Consider the following 21,013-nt stretch of genomic DNA (forward strand, 5'->3'; position numbering starts at 1 on the left):
CACTCCAGCCTGGGCGACAAGAGTGAAACTCCATCAAAAAAAAAATGAAAGAAAGGAAGGAAGGAAGGAAGGAGGAAGGCAGGAAAACAATTTTATAATGTCTGAAGAATTATCTGATGTAACTGTCAGAGATGTTTGAACCAGAGCTACTCCATCTTGAATAGGGGCTGTGTAAAATAAGGCTGAGATATGCTGGGCTGCTTTCCATGAGGTTAGGCATTCACAGGAGGTTAGCAGGACTGGTATAATGAGATACGGTTCACAGAGACCCTGCTGATAAATCAGAATGTGGTAAAGAAGCTGGCTAAAACCCACCAAAACCAAGATGGCCAGGAAAACGATCTCCTGTTGCCCTCACTGCTCACTGTGTGCTAATTAGAATGCATTGACATGCTAAAGGGCACTCCCACCAGCACCATAACAGTTTATACATGCTACGGCAACATCCATAAGTTACCCTATATGGTCTAAAAAGGGGAATAAGCTTCAGTTCTGGGAACTCCCCACCCCTTTCCCAGGAAACTCATAAATAATCCACTTCTTGTTTAACATATAATTAAGAAGTAACCATAAATATGCTAAGTCAAGCAGCCCATGCCGCTGCTCTGTCTATGGAGTAACCATTATTTTGTGTCTTTAATTCTCTAATAAATTCACTTTCACTTTACTCTCTGGATTTGCCCCAAATTCTTTCTTGCGTGAGATCCACAAATCCTCTCTTGGGGTCTGCATTGGGACCCCTTTCCGGTAAGTAAACAAGTTAAACATTAAAGGAGAAATATACCCTTATTGTTTAAAAAAGATAGATAAGAAGAAACTCTGCATACATATCATCAACCAGTTTTGTATTTGCAAAAAAAAGCTTGTATTAAAGTTAGCTTCTATCAGATATGTGCTCTCTCCCAAAGACAAGGAAAGTAAGTTAGATATAAGGATCTGGAAGACAATGAGTGCATGACATAACTACATTGAATACATTTTTTTAATAAGGCAGAAATATACCACTTATGAACCAAAATATTCTCTGAGCTTATTCAAAGCAATGCAGCCATATCCATTACCTTTTATTATGACTAATCACATTTCAATGTATTTGAACATTACCTCACCCATTTACAGCCTCCTTCTATCTCTGAGATTGATTATAGCTGACATTCTCAGCAGTCAAAACATCTTGCAAATGACTTCTTAGCCTGGAGAGCCCTACCAGGATGATATTCACATTGCTGTCTGCCTCGCTTGTCTCCCATCTAGCCATTGAAGCATTTACAATAATACTCTTATTAAATTTGCTCCACCATGTGTTCAATTAGATAAAATCTTCTTAAATATTGCACTGGATGTGAATTGGGAAAATGCTAAATTGCTTCTGCATGTGTTAAGTGTATTCTGAGAGGTAGATGAAGCCATATTATATCATTGGATTTAAGCAATAAAGTCAATAGAAAAAGATGTTCATTTTGTTTGGTTACATTTACACATTAAGTTTTCTTTCTAGATAAATGAGACTCTACTAAATAAACTGAATATAATGTGATAGGCTTGGGTGAAATATTTACTTTCTTTTATGTTTATTAGTTATAGGAGAGAGTACAAAAATGAGTTTTATTATATGAAGAATTATATGAAGGAGAGAACTAAGAATTAACTTAGAGACATTATTCTTTTATTTTATAAATGGAAAACTAAATAGTTCCTACTTATTTATTGAAATAGAGAATACATTTAGGATCAATGCTTTACTTCTTAGAAAATTGAGTGGAAATTTCAAATACATTCTAGATATTATATGCATACTATGCAATGCAGATCAAATATATTTTATTTTCTTAATATTAGATATCATTTAATAGCAAGTATCCTTTAGATGACTATTTAATACGAGTAATACAATGTCTGATATTTCTGAAATATGAAAAGTGACCTAAAACACTATGACTAATATCTTCACAATATCCAAATACAGGGGAGGGCAGTTTGTGGAAAGGGAAAGGGGGCTGCTCATGTTTTCCTTGTTACTAAGCTGATTCTTATCACTTTTCTCACTGGACACATGGATGTACCTAAATAATATAAAATGTTATGTATAGGCAGATCTGTCTGTACTTTTTAATGAAATATATGTCAATGTTTTTATTCTTGCCACTCCAATATGGGATCTCTACTTATGTAGTCCTTTACTTCTGAAGATCTTAACGCTTGACTCATAAACTGAAACCATGGCTCCATATTTGTGGATGTTTTTAAATTACATGAAAATTTTGTATGTACATTTTTCTTGAGAGAGTATCAGAGCATTCACCAGATTCTTTAGAGGTTGATGATTCTAACAAAAACAATCACTCTTCCAAGTATTTTGTAATGGATATTTAAGTCTTAATCAATTTGGAAATGTCTGTACACATTTTAAGGTCAGATATTATTTTGTTATATATATATATGTTTTTTAATATATAATATTAATATAAGATAATAACCATGCCTATTTATCTTCCTATCCTTTTTACTTTTGCAGGAATTCCTTGAGATATTGTGGGTTTGCTTTCAAATAATTGCAATAAAATTAATATTTTAATAAAGGGGGTCACACAAATTTTTGGGTTTCCCAGTGCATATAAAGTTATGTTTATACTATACTGTAGCCTATTAAGTGTGCAATAGCATTATGTCTTAAAACAGGATTACAGACCTTAACTTAAATAATATTTTATTGTTTAAAAATGCTAATGAATCATCTGAGCCTTATTTTTTGCAATCTTTTTTGCTGGTGGAGGGTTTTGCCTTGATGTTGATCGCTGCTGACTGATCAGTGTGGTGGTTGTCAAAAGATGGAGTGGCTGTGGCAATTTCTCAAAGGACAAAGAAGCTTGCAGCATTGATTAACTGTGTCACAAAAGGTTTCTCTGCTATTTAATATCATTTAACCCACAGTACAGCTTTTTTCAAAATTTGAATCAATCCTCTCAAATTACTATTGCTTTGTAAATTAAGTTTATGGAATATTCTAAATCCTTTGTTGTCATTTCAACAATGTTCACAGAATCTTCATCACCTGTGGATTCTATGTCAAGAAACCACGTTTTTTGCTCATCCATAAGAAGCAACTCCTCATCTGTTCAAATTTTATCATGAGATTGCAGCAATTCATTCACATCTTCTGTCTCCACTTCTAATTCTGGTTTTCTTACTATTTCCAGTGTATCTGCAGTTACTTCTTCCACTGAAGTCTGAACCACCCGTAAGGGTTGAAATCAACTTCTTTCAAACTCCTCTTAAAAGTAATATTTTGGTCTTTACCTATGAATCACAAATATTCTCAATGGCATCTATAATGATGAATCCTTTCCAGGAGGTTTTCAACTTACTTTTCTAAGATCCATCAGATGAATCACTATCAATGGCAGCTATATACTTACGAAATCTATTTTCTTAAACAATAAGATGTGAAAGTAAATATTACTTTTTGATTCATGGGCTACAGAATGGATGTTGTGTTACCAGTCATAAAACAAAGATTAAATTCCACATGTATCTTCATCAGAGCTCTTGGGTGACCAGGTTCATTGTCAATTAAAAGTTGTATTTGGAAAGGAATCTTTCTTTATGAGCAGAAGTTTTCAACAGTGAGCTTGAAGTATTCAGTAAACCATACTATAATCAGATATACTATAATCCAGACTTAGTGTTCTATTTGTAAAACCCAGGCAGAGTAGATGTAGCATAATTTTTAAGGGCTCTAAAATTTTCAGAATGATAAACAAGCATTGGCTTCAACTGAAAATCACCAGCTGCATTAGCCACTAACAATAGAATCAGTGTGTCTTTTGAAGCTTTGAAGCCAGGCATTGACTTCTCTCCAGCTATGAAAGACCTAGACAATACCGTCTTCTAATATAAGGCTTTTTTGCCTACATTGAAAACCTGTTGTTTAGTGTAGCTCCCTTCATCAATGATCTTAGCCAGATCGACTGGATAACTTGCTGCAGCTTCTACATTAGCATTTGTTGCCTCACCTTTCACTTTTGTAATACAGAGATGATTTCTTTCCATAAACCTCATGAGGCAACCTCTGCTAGCTTCCAACTTTACTTCTGCAGCTTCCTCACCTCTCTCAGTCTTCTTAGCATTGAAGAGTTAGGCCTTGTTCTGGATTATTATTTGACTTAAGGGAATGCTATAGTTGCCTTCATATTCTGACCAGACTGACTTAAGGGAATGCTATAGTTGCCTTCATATTCTGACCAGACTCCTAAAACTTACTTTATGTCAGCAATAAGGCTATTTCACTTTCTTATCATTAGTGTGTTCACTGGAGTAGCACTTAATTTCCTTCAAGAACTTTTCCTTTGCTTTCATAACTTGGCTTTTTGGCACAAGCAGTTGAATTTTGGCCTATCTTGGCTTTCAACGTGCCTTCCTCACAAAGCTTAATCCTTTCTAGTTTTTTATTTCAAGTGAGAAACATGCAATTCTTCCTTTCACTTGAACACTTAGAGACCGTGGTAGGACTATATATATATATATATATATACACACACACATACACATATACATATACATACACACACACAATTATAATCATATATAAAATATGGCTATAATTTAGCATTGTTTGAAGAGATAATAAAAGGTAATCAATGGGAAAAAACCTCATACCTTCTACAAATACAATATTTTCCCAAGGCCATATGAACATATCATGCCTAATGTCAATTATTGATATCCTGAATGCAAGAATCATATGCCATATGGACTCTGACTCCTGAACAACATGAAATTTCTGTTTCATTTCATATTATCTGAACTATTTTGAAATCACAAAGAAGTATTTAATTGACTAAATTATAAAGAAATAATATTAAAGCACATTCTGTACTTCATGAAATGAGTGGATTTGGTTAATTTGCATATTGAAACATTTATAACTTCATGGCAGACTAATATTCTTATTATCTTCTCTCTTTTGGTGATAATTTTATATTCTAGCTGACAAAAGACTTGACCATATGGTTTCTTTAGCTAATGGAATATGAAGGTAAATGATGTTTGCTACCCCTGGGCATACAAGCTTTAGAATTAAATTTGTTTTTCTTCTCACTTTGTGTCTCAAATTAAAGAATATGTGGAGCAGCTTAAAACATGTATTAATGTAGATAAATATATACCATATATTACATTATAAAATTATTTTACTTACAAGTGGATTAATAAGAAATAAAACAAGTATTCAGATTCTGTAATTGGCTACTGGACTGTGTCTTCATAAACACATCTAATAATGTATATATTTAAATTACAAGTATGAGAAGTTTGACATATTATTGGACTACAGACTTCATTGGGTTGGGTTTTGATTAATTTCCTCTTTGCAACATTCCAACTCTTAATAGATATGTAGCCTGATTAAATTTTTATTGTTTTAAGTCCCTGAGATTTTGATTGTATTTTATTATAGAGAAACCGAAGCTGTTGTGAGTTATAGTCATGGTTATGTATTCTTTCTTCTCAACTTTTCCCTCATGGATCTAGCATTCTCATGTTCCTTAATTAAGTAATTTATCAATGAATACTAAGTACAAGATTTGTCTAGTGTTAAATACCCTAATAAAAAACCTCCACTTTTAAGGATGAAGGAACTTCACTAATGGTGAGGGTGCCTTAAGTCTGCATGAAGAGTGTAAACATGTACTTAGTAATTCGTAACTGTTTGTTGTGTATCATAACTCCAAATCATAACTGTTAGTCACTAAATGATGGTTTCATGTTGGCTACCTAAATCTGATTTGCATATTTCTGATAACTTATTTGTTTTATATTTAGAAAAATTTTAAGTACATACCAAGTGAAAGTTGCTAAAATATTCTGTATTATGCACATTATTTTAACAAACCCTCATACAGCCCTATAAAGTAAGTATACTGCATCTATTAAACACATTTTAGAGATGATGACACTGATTTTGCTAGTTTCCTTTTTATTTTTAATCAGAATATCATGCATTACGCTAATACTCATAATAATTCTACCAAGTCATTCAAAACTCTGTTTTCTGCTGGACTATGAGCTTCAATTGGACAGGTCCTAACAATTTAAGTGTTGCTATTTGCTGCATGAATGAATGAATTGGAAAGATAACCAACTTGCCAAATGTGCACAGATTTTTAAGTTGTATATAATAGGATTGAAACTTGGTCTGTCTGACTCAATCTACCTTCTATATTTCTACCTTTAGTACCTTCTTTTCTTGAGCATTAGATATTGGCGTACTGATCATGCTTTTGTAACAGAGTTAGATATCAGGCCACCTCCCTGCATGGTGTCTATCTAAGCTGAAATAGAGAGGCTGTGCATACTGAATTACTCAAAATAGATAATCACTGTCTCTTTACATTTGTGGCACATATACACCATGGACTACTATGCAGCCATAAAAATGATGAGTTCATGTCCTTTGTAGGGACATGGATGAAATTGGAAATCATCATTCTCAGTAAACTATCGCAAGAACAAAAAACCAAACACCGCATATTCTCACTCATAGGTGGGAATTGAACAATGAGATCACATGGACACAGGAAGGGGAACATCACACTCTGGGGACTGCTGTGGGGTGGGGGGAGGGGGGAGGGATAGCATTGGGAGATATACCTAATGCTAGATGACGAGTTAGTGGGTGCAGCGCACCAGCGTGGCACATGTATACCTATGTAACTAATCTGCACAATGTGCACACGTACCCTAAAACTTAAAGTATAATAATAAAAGAAAAAAAATAAATAAATTTAAAAAAATACATTTCTATTATTTTAAATGAGCATGCATTCTTCTAAATTTCATATTGACAAACTGTATAAATTTATTTATGTTAATTTCTTGGTAATGTAAGGCAACATAATAGCTATCAATAAGTATGCACTTCTTGATTTAAAAAATATCTTAACCCAAATAAATTTATTTTAAAGGAGAATTTGAGAACCACATGGACTATATGGTTTTTGAAAATAGAATTTGCAAATTATCTTGAAAGCATACTACAAGTAAAAGTACATACTTTATTTTGTTTTTTTTTATTTGGTTCCTCTAATTATCATGTCTGATATGAGAGAAGAAACTATATATTTGTAAATTTCTTATTCTGTTTCTTGTTTTTTTACTTTATCTCAAAACTGTGTTGCTGCAGCGTACAATTTTGTGACTGTTGTTTATGATTTTAAATAAATACGAATATATTTTAAAATAAAATATTGAATTTAAGATATTAGCTTTTCATGTGAAACTTCTGATTTTTAAACACTATCACTATCTTTTTATATTTACAATGTACAGGTTTTTGCATGGAAAGTAGCATTTATTTCATCATTTGCACTTGCAAATTCTAACCTAGTTTCTTTAGTACTAAGGATTACATCATTGGCAAAGGTTTTATATGAAGTCTAATCATATTTAGCTTAATTTCAAATTCCAAATGCAATTGTAAAATATATATTGATATTACAATATTAACATAGAGAAATATAACACATATCACTTATACTATACTAGAAAGTTATTTTTACTCATAAGTAGATTAATAAGGAATAAGACAGAGGCATTCAGACTCTGCAATCCAATATTGGCCTGTATCTTCATAAACCCATATAAGAACATATGTAGTTAATTTAGAGGTATGACAAATCTGACACATTACTGGAATACAACTTTCACTGGCTTAGGGTTTGATTGATTTTTCTCTCTGCAGTTTCCCCCAAAAAGGTATATGAAATATAGATGCTCAATAAATTTTTATTGATGTAATGAACAAAATGGGTGTGTGCTTAAGAAAGTTGTTGTATGTAGCAATCAGGTTCCCCTGTACAGAGAGGGAAAAAAAAAGTCTTCAAGACACTGAAATTAAGAAAAATTAAAACATAAAGGTGAAAAGAAGAATTTAAAATTCAAGAAGTCGTAATATTTGTTGTGAAATTTGAGCTTGGAGTGTAAGCAGAAAGAAGCTGAAGCCAAAGAGACAACATCTAAATGATACTTGTAAGTGAATGTCATAAGTAGGGTCCCAAGGCAAAAACCAAGAGTGAAGCATTAGACTGAGGTAGTCAGCTATGTAAAAATAAAAGGAGTGAAATGTAAGCCAAAACAAAGAATACTGCAAAATCCTTAAGAATGCATTAAAAATTCTAAAGATTAAAAGGCAGAATCAGAATCAAGTTGGGAGTCAGGGCAAGCTTATGAGATAGAGATGATGCTGGGATAAGAACAGTCCAGGAAAAAATGAGAAATGCATAGGTTAAATGCCAAAAATACCATGGGAGGTTTCATAATTTGCCAATAGGGATTGTTAAGGTAGTAAAGGTCAGATATAAAGGACTGCATGATGAACTATTTCGTGGCAAAACTGTGGAATTTTGACTTATCTGAAAGACCATCGGGAGCTGCTGGAGAAAATTTAGCTGGAGGGTGATATGTTTATACTTGCATTTTGTAAAGGCCACTCTGATAGCAGTGCAAAACATGTAATTGAAAATGGCAATAAACTTGGAGAACAGAATTAAGACTTTCTTGGAGTATTCAAACTTTTTTAATAAACAAAACACTATTAATAACCAGATTGATATACAAAACGTAATCTTTAAAAAGCACAAGAAATTCTGCTATAGAAATCAAATCAATTCTTTTCAGTATAAGCAATTACTTTGTGTATTTAAAACCAGTAACGAATATAATAAACTTGTTATATCTTTGTCTTACCCTAGCTTTAACTCTGATTTACAAGTTACTTTCAAGCTGTATATAAAATTAATATTATGAAAGGTTATCTAAGTACTTATATGGAATTTGTTCCACAGATATTTAAGCCCTTGGACTATACATACAATTCCAACTATACTTAAATAATTGAAGTGGTAATGACTCAAAAACCCTTATGAATACACAGCTCCATCTTGAAAGTGATTGAGGTTTTTCTTATATTAACACAAACATTCCCTCCTTTTTTCTTTTACTCATTGTTTCAATTCTTGTGCTAGGGTTCAAAAATGTTACTTAACAAATGAATCTGCTATTGATTTCCTTAAAAATATTTTTATCTATTTTATTTTAAAAAATACCTACCATTTAACAAGCACATAGGTGACCTGTATATTTAAGCATTTCTGCAATAATTGTTAGTACAATGCATAAAGTTAAAAGAAGGAATAATGAAATTAAGTGGTAAAAAGCATTTATTTCATGTCTGTATGTTTAACAAGTAGTAATATTTTCTTAAGGAGCTTTGTGGTGGACAAATAACACTCCTGGCTGATCTCAACAAATCTTAACTAGAAGTCTTTTACATTCACCTATCCTTCAAATCTTTAAGGAAATGCGATATTATAATATGTTCCACTCAGATAAGAAGCTGGTATAATCCATTTTCCTTGAGCTATTTATGTAAAATATCAGAATATAGATCCTACTGTTCAAAGATAATACTTTACTACTTTTTAAAAAAATGTCTAAACAAAATAACAACAAAAGCTTCAGCCCTGATGTGGTTTGGATGTTTTATCCCCTTCAAATCTCATCTTGAAATGTAATCCCCAATGTTAAAGGTGGGGCCTGGTGGGAGGTGTTTTGATCATGGGAATGGATACCTCATGAATGGCTTGTTGCCATCCTTGTGGTAATAAGGGAGTTCCCTCTCTGAGTTAATGCAAGATATGCTTGCTTCAAAGAGTCTGGGACCTCCCTCTACTCTCTCTCTCTTGCTCCTGCTTTTGCCAGGTGATGTACTTGCTCCCCGCTCACCTTCTGCCATAATCGCAAGCATACAAAGAGCAGATGTTATTCCTTTATAGCTATAACAAAAGCTTACCAACACAGAAAATTGGTACCCAGAGTGGGGTGTTTATATAAGGTATTTGAAAATGTGGAAGCAGCTTTGGAACTGGGTAATGGGAAGAGGTTGGAAGAGTTTAGAGGGCTCAGAAGACATGAAGATGAGGGAAACTTTTAAACTTCTTAGAGACTTATTAAATGGTTGTGACCAAAATTCTGAGAGAGAAACAGTGAAATCCAGGCTGGCAAGGTCTCTGATGGAAATGAGGAAGTTAATGGGATCTGAAATAAAGGTCGTATGTGTTATGACCTAGCAAAGTTTGACTGCATTCTGTCCACATCCCAGCCGATATGGTTTGGATCTCTGTCCTTGCCGCAATCTCCTGGCAAATTTTAATCCCCAGTGTTGGAGGTAGGGCCTGATGGAGGGTAATTAGATCATGGAGGTGGTTTCTAATGGTTTAGCACTGTCCTTCTAGTGTTGTTCTTGTGATAGAGTTCTCATAAGGTCTGGTTGCCTGAAAGTGTTTATCTCTCTTTTGCTCCTTCTCCATCATGTAAGACACCTGGCTCCCCATTCAGCTTTGTGAGGCATCTACAGAAGAGGAGCAGATACCTCCATGCCTTCCTTTCAGCCTGCATAACCAGGAGTCAATTAACTCTTTCCTTTATAAATTACGCAGTCTCAGGTATTTTTTTATAGCAATGCAATAACAGACTAATATATCAGAGATCTGTGAGAGGTTGAAGTTAAGAATTATTATGTAGGGTACACGGCAGAAGAAATTCTAAGCAGTTAGCCAGGTGCAGTGGCTTAAGCCTGTAATCCCAGCACTTTGGGAGGCCAAGGTGGGAGAATCACCTGAGGTTGGGAGTTTGAAACCAGACTGACCAACATGGAGAAACTCCATCTCTACTAAAAATACAAAAAATTAGCCAGGTGTGGTGGTGCATGCCTATAATCCCAGCTACTCGGGAGGCTAAGGCAAGAGAATCGCTTGAAACCAGGAGGCGGAGGTTGCCGTGAGGTGAGATCGCGCCATTGCACTCCAACATGGGCAACAAGAGTGAAACTCCATCTCAAAAAAAAAAAAAAAAGAAAAGAAAAGAAATTCTAAGCAGCAAAGCATGCAAGAAACATGACAGCTTCTAACAGCCTATGATCAGATATGAGAGCAAAGGAATGACTTAAATTTGAAATTTATATTTAAAAGAAAAGCATCACGTAAAGGTTTGGAAAATTTGTAACCTAGCTGTGTGGTAGAGAAGGAACAAGTCTATTTAGGACAGGAACACAAATGGACTGTAGAGCAACAACTTGTTAGAGTTATTTGCATGACTAAAAAGAAGTCAAGTGCTAATATCCAAGACAATGGGAAAAATACCTCAAAGGCATTTTAGAAATCTTTGAGGCAGCCCCTCTCATCACAGGCTCAGAGGACTAGAAGCACTAAATGATTTGGGGAGCCACTCCAGGGCTCCACTTCTCTGTGCATCCTCAGGACACTGTTCTCTGCACACTGACCACTCCATCTCCAGCCTTTGCTCAAAGGAGCCCAGATATATCTTGGGCCACCACTCCACAGGGCACAAGCAATGAGCCTTGGAAGTTTCCATATGATGTTAAGCCTGCAGATACATAAAATGCAAGAGTGAAGAAGGCTTGATAGTTTCCACTAAGAATTCACAGGCTATATAGAAAAGCCTCTGTGGCCAGGCAGAAGCCTGCTGCAGGGATGGAGAACCTCCTAATAGCTGCTCCTAGGGCAATGCTGAGGGGAAATGTGAGTTGGAGCCCTCACATGGAGTTCCCACTAGACTACTGTCTAGTGAATCTGTAGGAACAAGGCCACTACCTCTTAGATCCCAGCATGTTACAGCCACTAGCAGCTTGCAACATCAGAATGGAAAAATCACAGGCACAGGACACCAACCCTTGAGAACAGCCATGAGAGCTGCACCCTGTAAAGTCATGGGGCAGAGCTGCCTAAATCCTTGGGAGCCCATCTCTTGCACCAGGGTGCCCTGAATGTAGAACAGGGAGTCAAGGATTACTTTGGAGCTTTAGGATTTAATATCTACCCTGCTGGAATTTGAACTTCTTTGAGGCCTGTTGCCTATTTCATTTGGCTGATTTATTCCTTCAGAATGAGAATGTTACCCAATGCCTGTGTCACAATTGTATCTTGGAATAAATAACCTGTTTTTGATCTTACATGCTCACAAGTAAAAGGAACTTGCCTTGAGTCTCAAATGAGATTGGACTTTTTGAGTTGATGCTGAAATTAGTTAAGACTTTGGGAGACTATTGGGAAGGGATGATTGTGTTTTGCACTGTGAGAAGAACATAAAATTTGGGAAGCCAGGGGCAGAATGATACATATTGGATGTTTTGTCCCTTCCAAATCTCTCACATTGAAATGTAATCTCCAATGTTGAAGGTGGTGCCTCGTGGAGGTGTTTTGATCATGGGGTCAGATCTCTCATGAATGGTTAGGTGCCATCCTTGTGGTAATGAGAAAGTCTTCACTCTAAGTTTATGCAAGATCTGCTTGTTTAAAAGAGTCTAGGACCTTGCCCTTCTCTCTCTTGCCTCTGTTTTCACCATGTGGCATGATGACATGTTTGCCTTTGGCCATGATTATAAGCTTCCTCAGGCCTTCACAAGAAGCAGATGCTGCACTTTGTACCATGCTTCCTGTGCAGCCTGCTGAACTGTGAGCCAATTAAACTTCTGTTCCTTACAAATTACCCAGCCTCAGGTATTCCTTTATAGCAACACAGAAATGTACTAACATAATTCCAATTTAAGACAATAGCTCCATTTTCCATAGGTGTAACTAATCTGTAAACTAAAAAGTGACTGGGGAAGATCTCAATCAATTTAGAGGTTTATTTTGCCAAGGTTGAGGATACACCTGGTTGGGGGAAAACACAAGTTACTAGGATCTATGTCTTGTGCTTGTTGCAAAGAATGTTTTGGGAAATTTAATAATTAAAAATTGAAGAGCAAGTGGAAGGGGAAGAAAAATTGGGGGGCGGTAAGTTGGTAGGCAATGGGGCAAGTTGTTACTTTCTTGTGAAGCTCTGATTAGCACCCAGTGAATCTACATTTTACACATGAAAAGAAAGGAGTGGAGGGTCAATTACGCATGTCTCTTGCACTCAATAAAACTACATTTTACATAAGATAAAGTAAGCATGTGAAATTACAGCTATCTGCTTGGGAATAAAAGAAACGCTGTTTTTGCGTGACTGTTTCCAAGCTGAACTTTTCCCTTTGGCAAAATGTAGTGTGTCTGTGGTCCCAAGATTTTATTTTCCTTTCACAATGCAAAATAAACCTATGAAAGCATATTAAGATATATCTGCTATTATAATATAAATGAAATATTGTGTATAGATATGATTATTTTACCTCTTGTTTTTATCTTTCATTCAACTATTAGAAATTTTATTGCATATCGTAGAAAGAAGAAAAGGTCTCATGTTTAAAGCTAAAAATTAGAATTATTATCATACTTTTCCATAGAATTAATGTGCTGATTTGTTGGAGATGCTGTTAAAGATGCAGTGAGACCTTTGTGAATGTGTTGTTAAATAAGGCCGTAGATTGTTAATTACTTTTGCCTCCGGTGGAAGAGGCCATAATTGTCTACTTTGAAACATTTCTTAGAAGTTCACATTTATGAAACTCAATTCACTCTTCAATAGAAATCTAAAGTAAATTAAAACTATCTCATTTAAAAATACAATATGCATAGTTTTGTTTCTTTTCTCCAAAAGAGCTTTTAATATATTATTTTATTCAGTGATAAAGGTGATGGTAGGGTAATGAAACAATTGTGACTTAATGAAAAGCCGTGAACAACTTTTTTAATGCTTCAGAGTATTTTCTGTTTTCAACAGTATAACTTACAGAAAGTGTTCTTGTAATTTAGTGATTAGCATGAATTAATAATGAATTTAATAAGCACTTAAAATAAAGATGTGACATTTTAGACCTGCAATTGAATTGTAGTGCATTAATAATTAAGTAATACATTTTGCTCTTGAATATGAAATCCCAAATATATTTTGCTATTTTAGGACACATTTTGAACTAAACATTTAAGATTGTGAATTATCTGTATATCACTTGCACTGACCAAAGTAGAAAGGAAATAATAACTTTATTATCAAATTTGAGGACCATTGAGACTATGATAAAATTTTCTTCCTGCTACTGCCTCATAATATTTCAAGAGACATATTCTTCAAAGACGCATTCTGCTTTCTTAAACACTATAGGTTGTACAAATTAAAAAAATTATTTTATTTTAAAATAATTTTTAATACAACTATTTATTTATAAAATAATAGTTCACAATACAACAAGAATTTATAATGCTGTAATGAATTTGCCTACCACATTGGTCCTCTATTAAGAAAGTCAAGGACCTCCACACCTTTAAAGAAATTAAGAGTAGAATTTAGTGGGATCTGCTGGGTACAATCAACGCATCAAAAACAGGAAAAGAAAGACTAAAGATGATTACCAAATGAAGTTGAAGTGTAGAATTCAGAGAACCTCTCTGGCAAAATACCAAGGGACAGTTATCTCCCGGAGAAGGAAGACATAGAAGCTAAAGGTTGATGCAGTAAATATCAATACAGGGTTGAATTCTAAACCCTGTTAAGTCTACCATGACTAACTTAGACTCCAGGTGGGTTCATCTGCTTTTCCATTTTCTATCTTTGGATTGGATCATATAGATCATTTGCACTTAGGGTAATGATTCATATGTTAGTGCTTAAGTCTGATCTTGTATTGTCTTCTGTTTGTTTCCTTTTGTTATCTTTCTCCGGTTTCTCCTTCCTTGCCTTCTGTGGGTTACTTAAAAACTTTTGCCACAGATTTTACCTTGATTTACTTAACAGAGTTTTTTAATGTATCTATTTGTTTAGTGTTTCTTTAGTTTCTCTGGGTATTACAATGTACATATGTGACTCATCACAGTCTACTGAGAGTTTATTATTTCAAGTGAAAGAATAAGGCAAAAATATTTAAAGGTCGGTAAGGTAGAGAGACCTTTATCTAAATGGAAGTTAGGTCTCTTTAACTTACCCACTTTCAAATATTATTGTCTTTGGTATCAGATGATGTTTTCATTTTGTTTTAATCAATAGTATATAAGATATAAAATTCATGAGGACAAAAAATAATCCATTTTATATACAAATATCTCTGCTTTTGCATTGTTTATTATTACTTTCTGATAATACAAAATTGTTTTATCATTTACTTTTTTTCTTAAATAAGTCTCCTCAGTCAGTTTTAAGGATAGTTCTGCCAGTGACAAATTTATTTTATTTTCCTTTGCTTTCTTCTTCACTCTTGAAGAATAGTTTTCCTGGACGTAGAATCACAGTTCATAGTTTTCTTTCTTGCACAACTTGAAAAATATTATTTAAGTTCTTCTGGCCTCCATTGTTTCAGATAAGAAACTCATTGACATTTGAATTGGAGTTCTCTTTTCACTTATAATCTACTATCTCTGAGTGAATTGATATTGTCTTACAGGCTATTCATTCTTTCTCTTAAATTGCTTTTAAGACCATTTCTTTTTCTTTATTAATCAAGTTTAATTATAATACGTCCTGGCATTCACTTATTTGGATTTATCATGTTGGGATCACTTAGCTCCTTGAATCTGTAGATTTGTATATTCTATTCTATTTGGGAAGTTTTCAGCCATTATTTCTTTGAACACTCTTTCAATCTCATGCTCTTTCTCCTAGCCTCTTGGATCCTGATTAAAAAAACATATAATATTTTGTTATTACATAGGTTCCTAAGTCTCTATTCACTATTTTTTTACAGCCTATTTTCTCTCTGTTGTGCTGATTGGCTTAGTTTTATGGATCTGTTTTCAAGTTCACTGATTCTATTCTCTGTCATCTTCACTCCACTAGATAATTTTAACTGATTCATCTCAGCATTTGTGTCAGATAATTGGCTTGTTTCATGGCAGTTGTGATTTTTTTGGTTCTTGGCATGATGGATGCTTTTCTATGTATACTCAACATATTTTTCTGTTAGAAGACATTGGGCCCAATTTAAATATGGTATTTTAGGAAGCAGTCATCCTGTTTAATTTTAGCAGACAGGCTGTGGCCTACTTCTGTACGCTATTGCTCTGTGCTGAGCAGGTATATTCAGACCTACCCCCAAAGGCTGAGGGAGCTGAAAGGTTGAAGGAAGAGGCTGCCAAACTTGGTTCTCAGAAAGAAACATTTGATAGTGACTTACAAACATAAAAGATGTCTCAGGCAGTTGTGATATAATTCATCCCTACACCCACACCCCCCCCTCAATTCCAAAAATGTCTTTTATATAATAAGTTCTTTGCTAAAACATGTGTAGCTAGTCATGCCTCGGACTTTCTTGAAAAACTCATGACCATTAGAGAGGTTAGATGAGCATCTTTATGAGGTATTATCTATTGTATAGGCATTGCTTCTTTAAGAGGGGTTATCTATGCTATGAGAACGTCTTGTTAGGCATGAGTCAACCATCAGTCATTATGGCGATTTTACCTCAAGATGACATCATTCTTGCCATGAAACAGGCTGTCTTCCCACAGTTATGGTTCCAAGACAGTTTAACTTACAGAGTTGTTGTGATGTTATTTTGCTCTCCTTGGTTTATCTGACAATGCTAGGTTTGTGACTAACCTCTACTGGTTTTGCTTATGGGACAGAAGGGGTTCCCACAGGCTGGGTCTCATCAGATGTAGATGTCACTCAGTGTTGGAGGGTAATCTGAGGCCTGATGTCTAAGAGACTTTCTAGGATTGGCTGCTTGTTTTCATCCTGGGTCTGTCTTGCTGCCTCAGCCCATCCACCGAACTGTTTCTGGGTGTGAGAGGAAATTCTTAGGGCCACATTTGCTGGGCTGAGCCAATTGCTGTGGCTGAGCATCTCTCACTTGGTCTATTCACCTATTTCTGTGTCTCTCGGCAGAAAAGGGGATCCTCAGGCCAGGTTATGAAAAGAGTTCTTCTTTCGGCCACTTATTTTTGGCAAATCTCTCCATTAATCCTCTCTTCAGATCATATTAGCATATCTAATGTTGTCAAAGGAATCCTGCTTCATCCAGGAGAGGAATGAGCCTCTCTAGGCCTTTTGTTTCCTATGTTCTGGGTCAAGAAACAATAAAGGTATTCAGCCTTCTGTTGGGTGTGAGTATATATGACAGCCTGGTGTTCTATTGTTCTTGCAGTCCTGGGGTAAAAACATCAGTTTTTATTTTTACCATCTTCAGAGTTCTCCTTTGGTTCACTATAGTTGTGCTTATGAAGTAGATGTGGAGAAGAGCAGGGAAAACATATCTACACCAACTTTTGAAGACTGAGAGTCCTCCATTAATGTTCAACGACATGTAATTTTTTTTAACAAAGAAAGATGTGCTTGCCTAGAATATGAGTCATATTCAAAAGAGTGAAAACACTAAGCATAGAATAGTTTTCTCCTGGACGCCTCTTATGTAAAATAAAATACATCCCTCTGTGATATACAGCAAATTATGCTATTTAAAAATGCTTTACAACACATTTCCCTATCATCATTACATAGACCCAATAAGGTGAGTGAATATTTCAATCCAAGTACCGGCCACCTAAAGAAATGCAGAAAACTCTAATTTCAAAGTTTAGATGATATTTAAAAGTATTTCGGTTGCAATTTTCTATCATCTAAGGCTTTAGATGTTCTCAGGTTTATCTCTGGAGATTGCACAATGACATTATTAGCTATTGTCAATGCCTAATAATAATAGGTCCATCTGTCTTATTTCATCTCAGTGACAATAGAAAACTAAGCTGCAGGCCAAGCATGGTGGCTCAAGCCTGTAATCTCAGCACTTTGGGAGGCCAAGGCAGTTCGATCGGGAGGCTGAGGCAGTTGGATCATGAGGCCAGGAGATCAAGACCATCCTGACTAACACGGTGAAACCTCGTCTCTACTAAAAATACAAAAAATTAGCCAGGCATGGTGGCAGGCGTCTGTAGTCCCAGCTACTCAGGAGGCTGAGGTAGGAGAACGGCATGAACCCGGGAGGCAGAGCTTGCAGTGAGCAGAGACTGCACCACTGCACTCTAGCCTGAGCGACAGAGCGAGACTCCGTCTCAAAAAAAAAAAAAAAAAAAAGAAAATTAAGCTGCAACTGAATATGCAGCAACATAAATTTGTCCACTGAAGTTAAAAGCCGCTGCTAACTGGAGAGAAAAACAACAACAACAACACCTCTTTGCCATAGGAAAGTTTAAGCTATGAGGGATATGTGAGCCAGATGACAGAACACAGAGGATTAAAGGACATCTGTGTCTGTGTCAAAAAGAGATATTGCTATGCCAAAGCTATGGCTCTGCTTATAATGTTTGTTATCTGAATATTAAATGTATTAATGCTTCAAATGAAAAAGCACAATTGCCAATCCTAAACTAAGATTACATTAGTACAGTGTTTGAAAATGGGTCAGGAAATTTAGAGTGGTAACAGGCCTTAGATTTTGAAATTTGCTGTTTAGCTTCTGTATTCAGCTTCTCCTGCCACCACCTGGAATGAAGTAGTCCCTTTTATATCCAAAAGAAGTGAAGGAATAAAGTTCAACCAGACTTCATTGAAAAATTGCATACATATGCCTATGAAATTCAGAGACAGATGAAGTTTCTCAAACACTGTCTCCGGCAATCTTGGCAAATAAGAGTAAAGAAAAAGAACATATTCCACTTGGAAACCTAAGGTGTAACATAAACATCCACCTGCCTAAAGTAGTTTATAGAATGCCTCTGCCAATGGAATGGTCAAGGTAACCTTGGTGTTTATTCTAGTTCAATAGTTTCTGGCTCTTCAGCAAAACAGAAGATGAGGCAGGGATCAAAATTCAGAATGCTGAGGCAAACATTCCATGAGGCTTACTCTGAAATTTCCCTGGAGAAACACCACCTGTCCATGTCTGAATTGTACTGGAAGCTTGTTATATCTCTTCCTTACTTGTTCATCATGTGCATTTCACATTTTCCTCAAAGTCATGGCAAGATACGGTCTACGACAAGGTGTTATACATGCACAGCTACCTTATAACAATTAGTCTAAATTAACATATTAAATAGTTCCCTATGTACATGCTTGTATTCATGTTGAACTTGCAATATTTCTTGGTACTCGAATAATGTGAAATGACTTCCCTGGAACCAATATTTCTATAATGTTCCCAAGTTCCTCTAGTGCCCTCAGGGACATGAGCCATGAGGCTTAGAAGCCAATGCAATGGGGCTACAGCCTGCTGGCCAGCAGCCTGAGACTGTGCGCACTGCCAGCTAGCTTACCCCAGGCCAGCTGGCAGAATATGATGCGAGGACAGATGCATCTTATAAGTGGACATCTGTGGAAAGACTATACTCTGGACCTTCCAGGCTGGCCTGGAATCAAAGGGACCATTCTTCTGCCTTGATTATGGGAAGTACAACCTAACCAAAGAGGTGATACCTAATACCTACTTCACAACAAAAAGACAGACTACACCGAAGGTAGAGATATTACAAGGACCAAATTACAATCTCTTAACATTATGATTTTAAGAAACAAACAAAAAAACCCTCCTATTCGAATAGTGGTTTTGTTTGGCCATTAGTTGGTGTATAAATTCAAAGTAATAATTAACTGCAGAAAATGTGACTTTTATCATTTTATTTCCCCAAAGAGTAAAGTTCTATGTGAGTATTTAAACACATTTTCTGTGAGTACAGACATGTATGTATGTTTGTATATATGAATACAATCATATGAACACATATACACATATGTGCATGTGTGTACATATAAACATATATACATGCATACATATACACATGTGTATGTGTGTACATATATAGACAGACAATATACCAAAAATTTTATGGAGGAAAATACCAGTTTGTTTAAGTTTTTAAGTTTTAACCATGCATGGGTAAAAACCTGTAATGACATTGCGGGATAGAACTTTCAAAAGGCTTTCTCCATGAAAGATTGATTATATTCCTGTGAGAGATTTGTCTTAGTAAATTGTCAGCAACAAGACAACTAGGTTTCATAGTAGAGTTCTGCTTGATGTTTCCACAGAACACCAAATCTCGCAATATAGTTAGGTAACACAAACACACATGCACACACAAACACACACAGATATACATCATCCTGTGATAAAATAAGCATAAAATAAAATGGATCAAACGAAGCAATGTCTTATTCCCTCATTGCAACATTTTACAGAGGTTCTTATAGCATGTGTTTGTGTGTGTGTTTGGTATAGTGAATGTTCATGATAATGCTTAAATATGCCATATTTTCCCTAATTCATTTGGTTGAGAATATGACAGAAAATTTAGCAAATACTGTCCTGATCAACAGAGGATGCAATGAGCCTTATTGTGTGATGTTTCAAAATTAAATATAATTTAATTTTGCCTCAATCTTATAAATACTTACATTAAAGTACAGATTATGAGAGAAAGAAGCAGTGAGAGAAGAGCAAGAGAAGATAAAGGACTGTTCCTAGAGCCATTTGACATTGCAGCATAAGCAATAGTACTAACACTGCTTGGCCCTATGTTGCTAAGTTTAGCACCTCCTATGAAATACAGCTCCACTTCAGAACAGTGAAGACTCCAGAGAGCATTATGTCCTTAGCACCTAAAAAATTAGTACTCTAGTGGAATGCCTAGTGAAAGCTGGTAGCACCCAATAGCATTGGTGTCTTTGTTCACCATACAGTTGGATACCGAAGAGGGTGCATGTGGACCCAGATGCAGTCACGCCCAGCAGGCCATTTACTGGTCCTTAGCAGAAGTGTTAGTGTATGAAGGCAAGGACAAGCACTGGTAGCTAGCAAGCAACTGCAATGGCACCCAGGAACATACAATGCTTCATAAGAGGCACCATTGCTCTGCAAAAAGGTTGGAAGACATCTCCATAACCAATGAAATGGTCAGTCTTCCTGAGATTGGTGATACCTTGTGGATGTAATGCCATCTACCTTCAGGATCAACCAGGGCACAGGAGGTGATGCTGCCTGTCAAAAACAGTAGTATCCATGAACAGCAGCAGTAGTCCACAGCAGATGTTTCAGGGACAATCAGACATGAGTGCTCAGCAAAGTGGATCTTGTCCAAGTAGATGAATA

At 35.6% G+C, this 21,013-nt stretch overlaps 1 annotated feature.

The window, feature by feature from the left end:
• Positions 10,899-11,401: an enhancer, noted in NCBI's record as "NANOG hESC enhancer chr9:30514410-30514912 (GRCh37/hg19 assembly coordinates)". NCBI's record gives its function as "activates a minimal SCP1, AML or CMV promoter by ChIP-STARR-seq in primed H9 embryonic stem cells {active_cell/tissue: H9 hESC(primed)}" and the evidence as "EXISTENCE:reporter gene assay evidence [ECO:0000049][PMID:30033119]".

Source organism: Homo sapiens, chromosome 9 (genome assembly GCF_000001405.40).
Source record: "Homo sapiens chromosome 9, GRCh38.p14 Primary Assembly".
In the NCBI taxonomy this organism is placed as follows: Eukaryota; Metazoa; Chordata; class Mammalia; order Primates; family Hominidae; genus Homo; species Homo sapiens.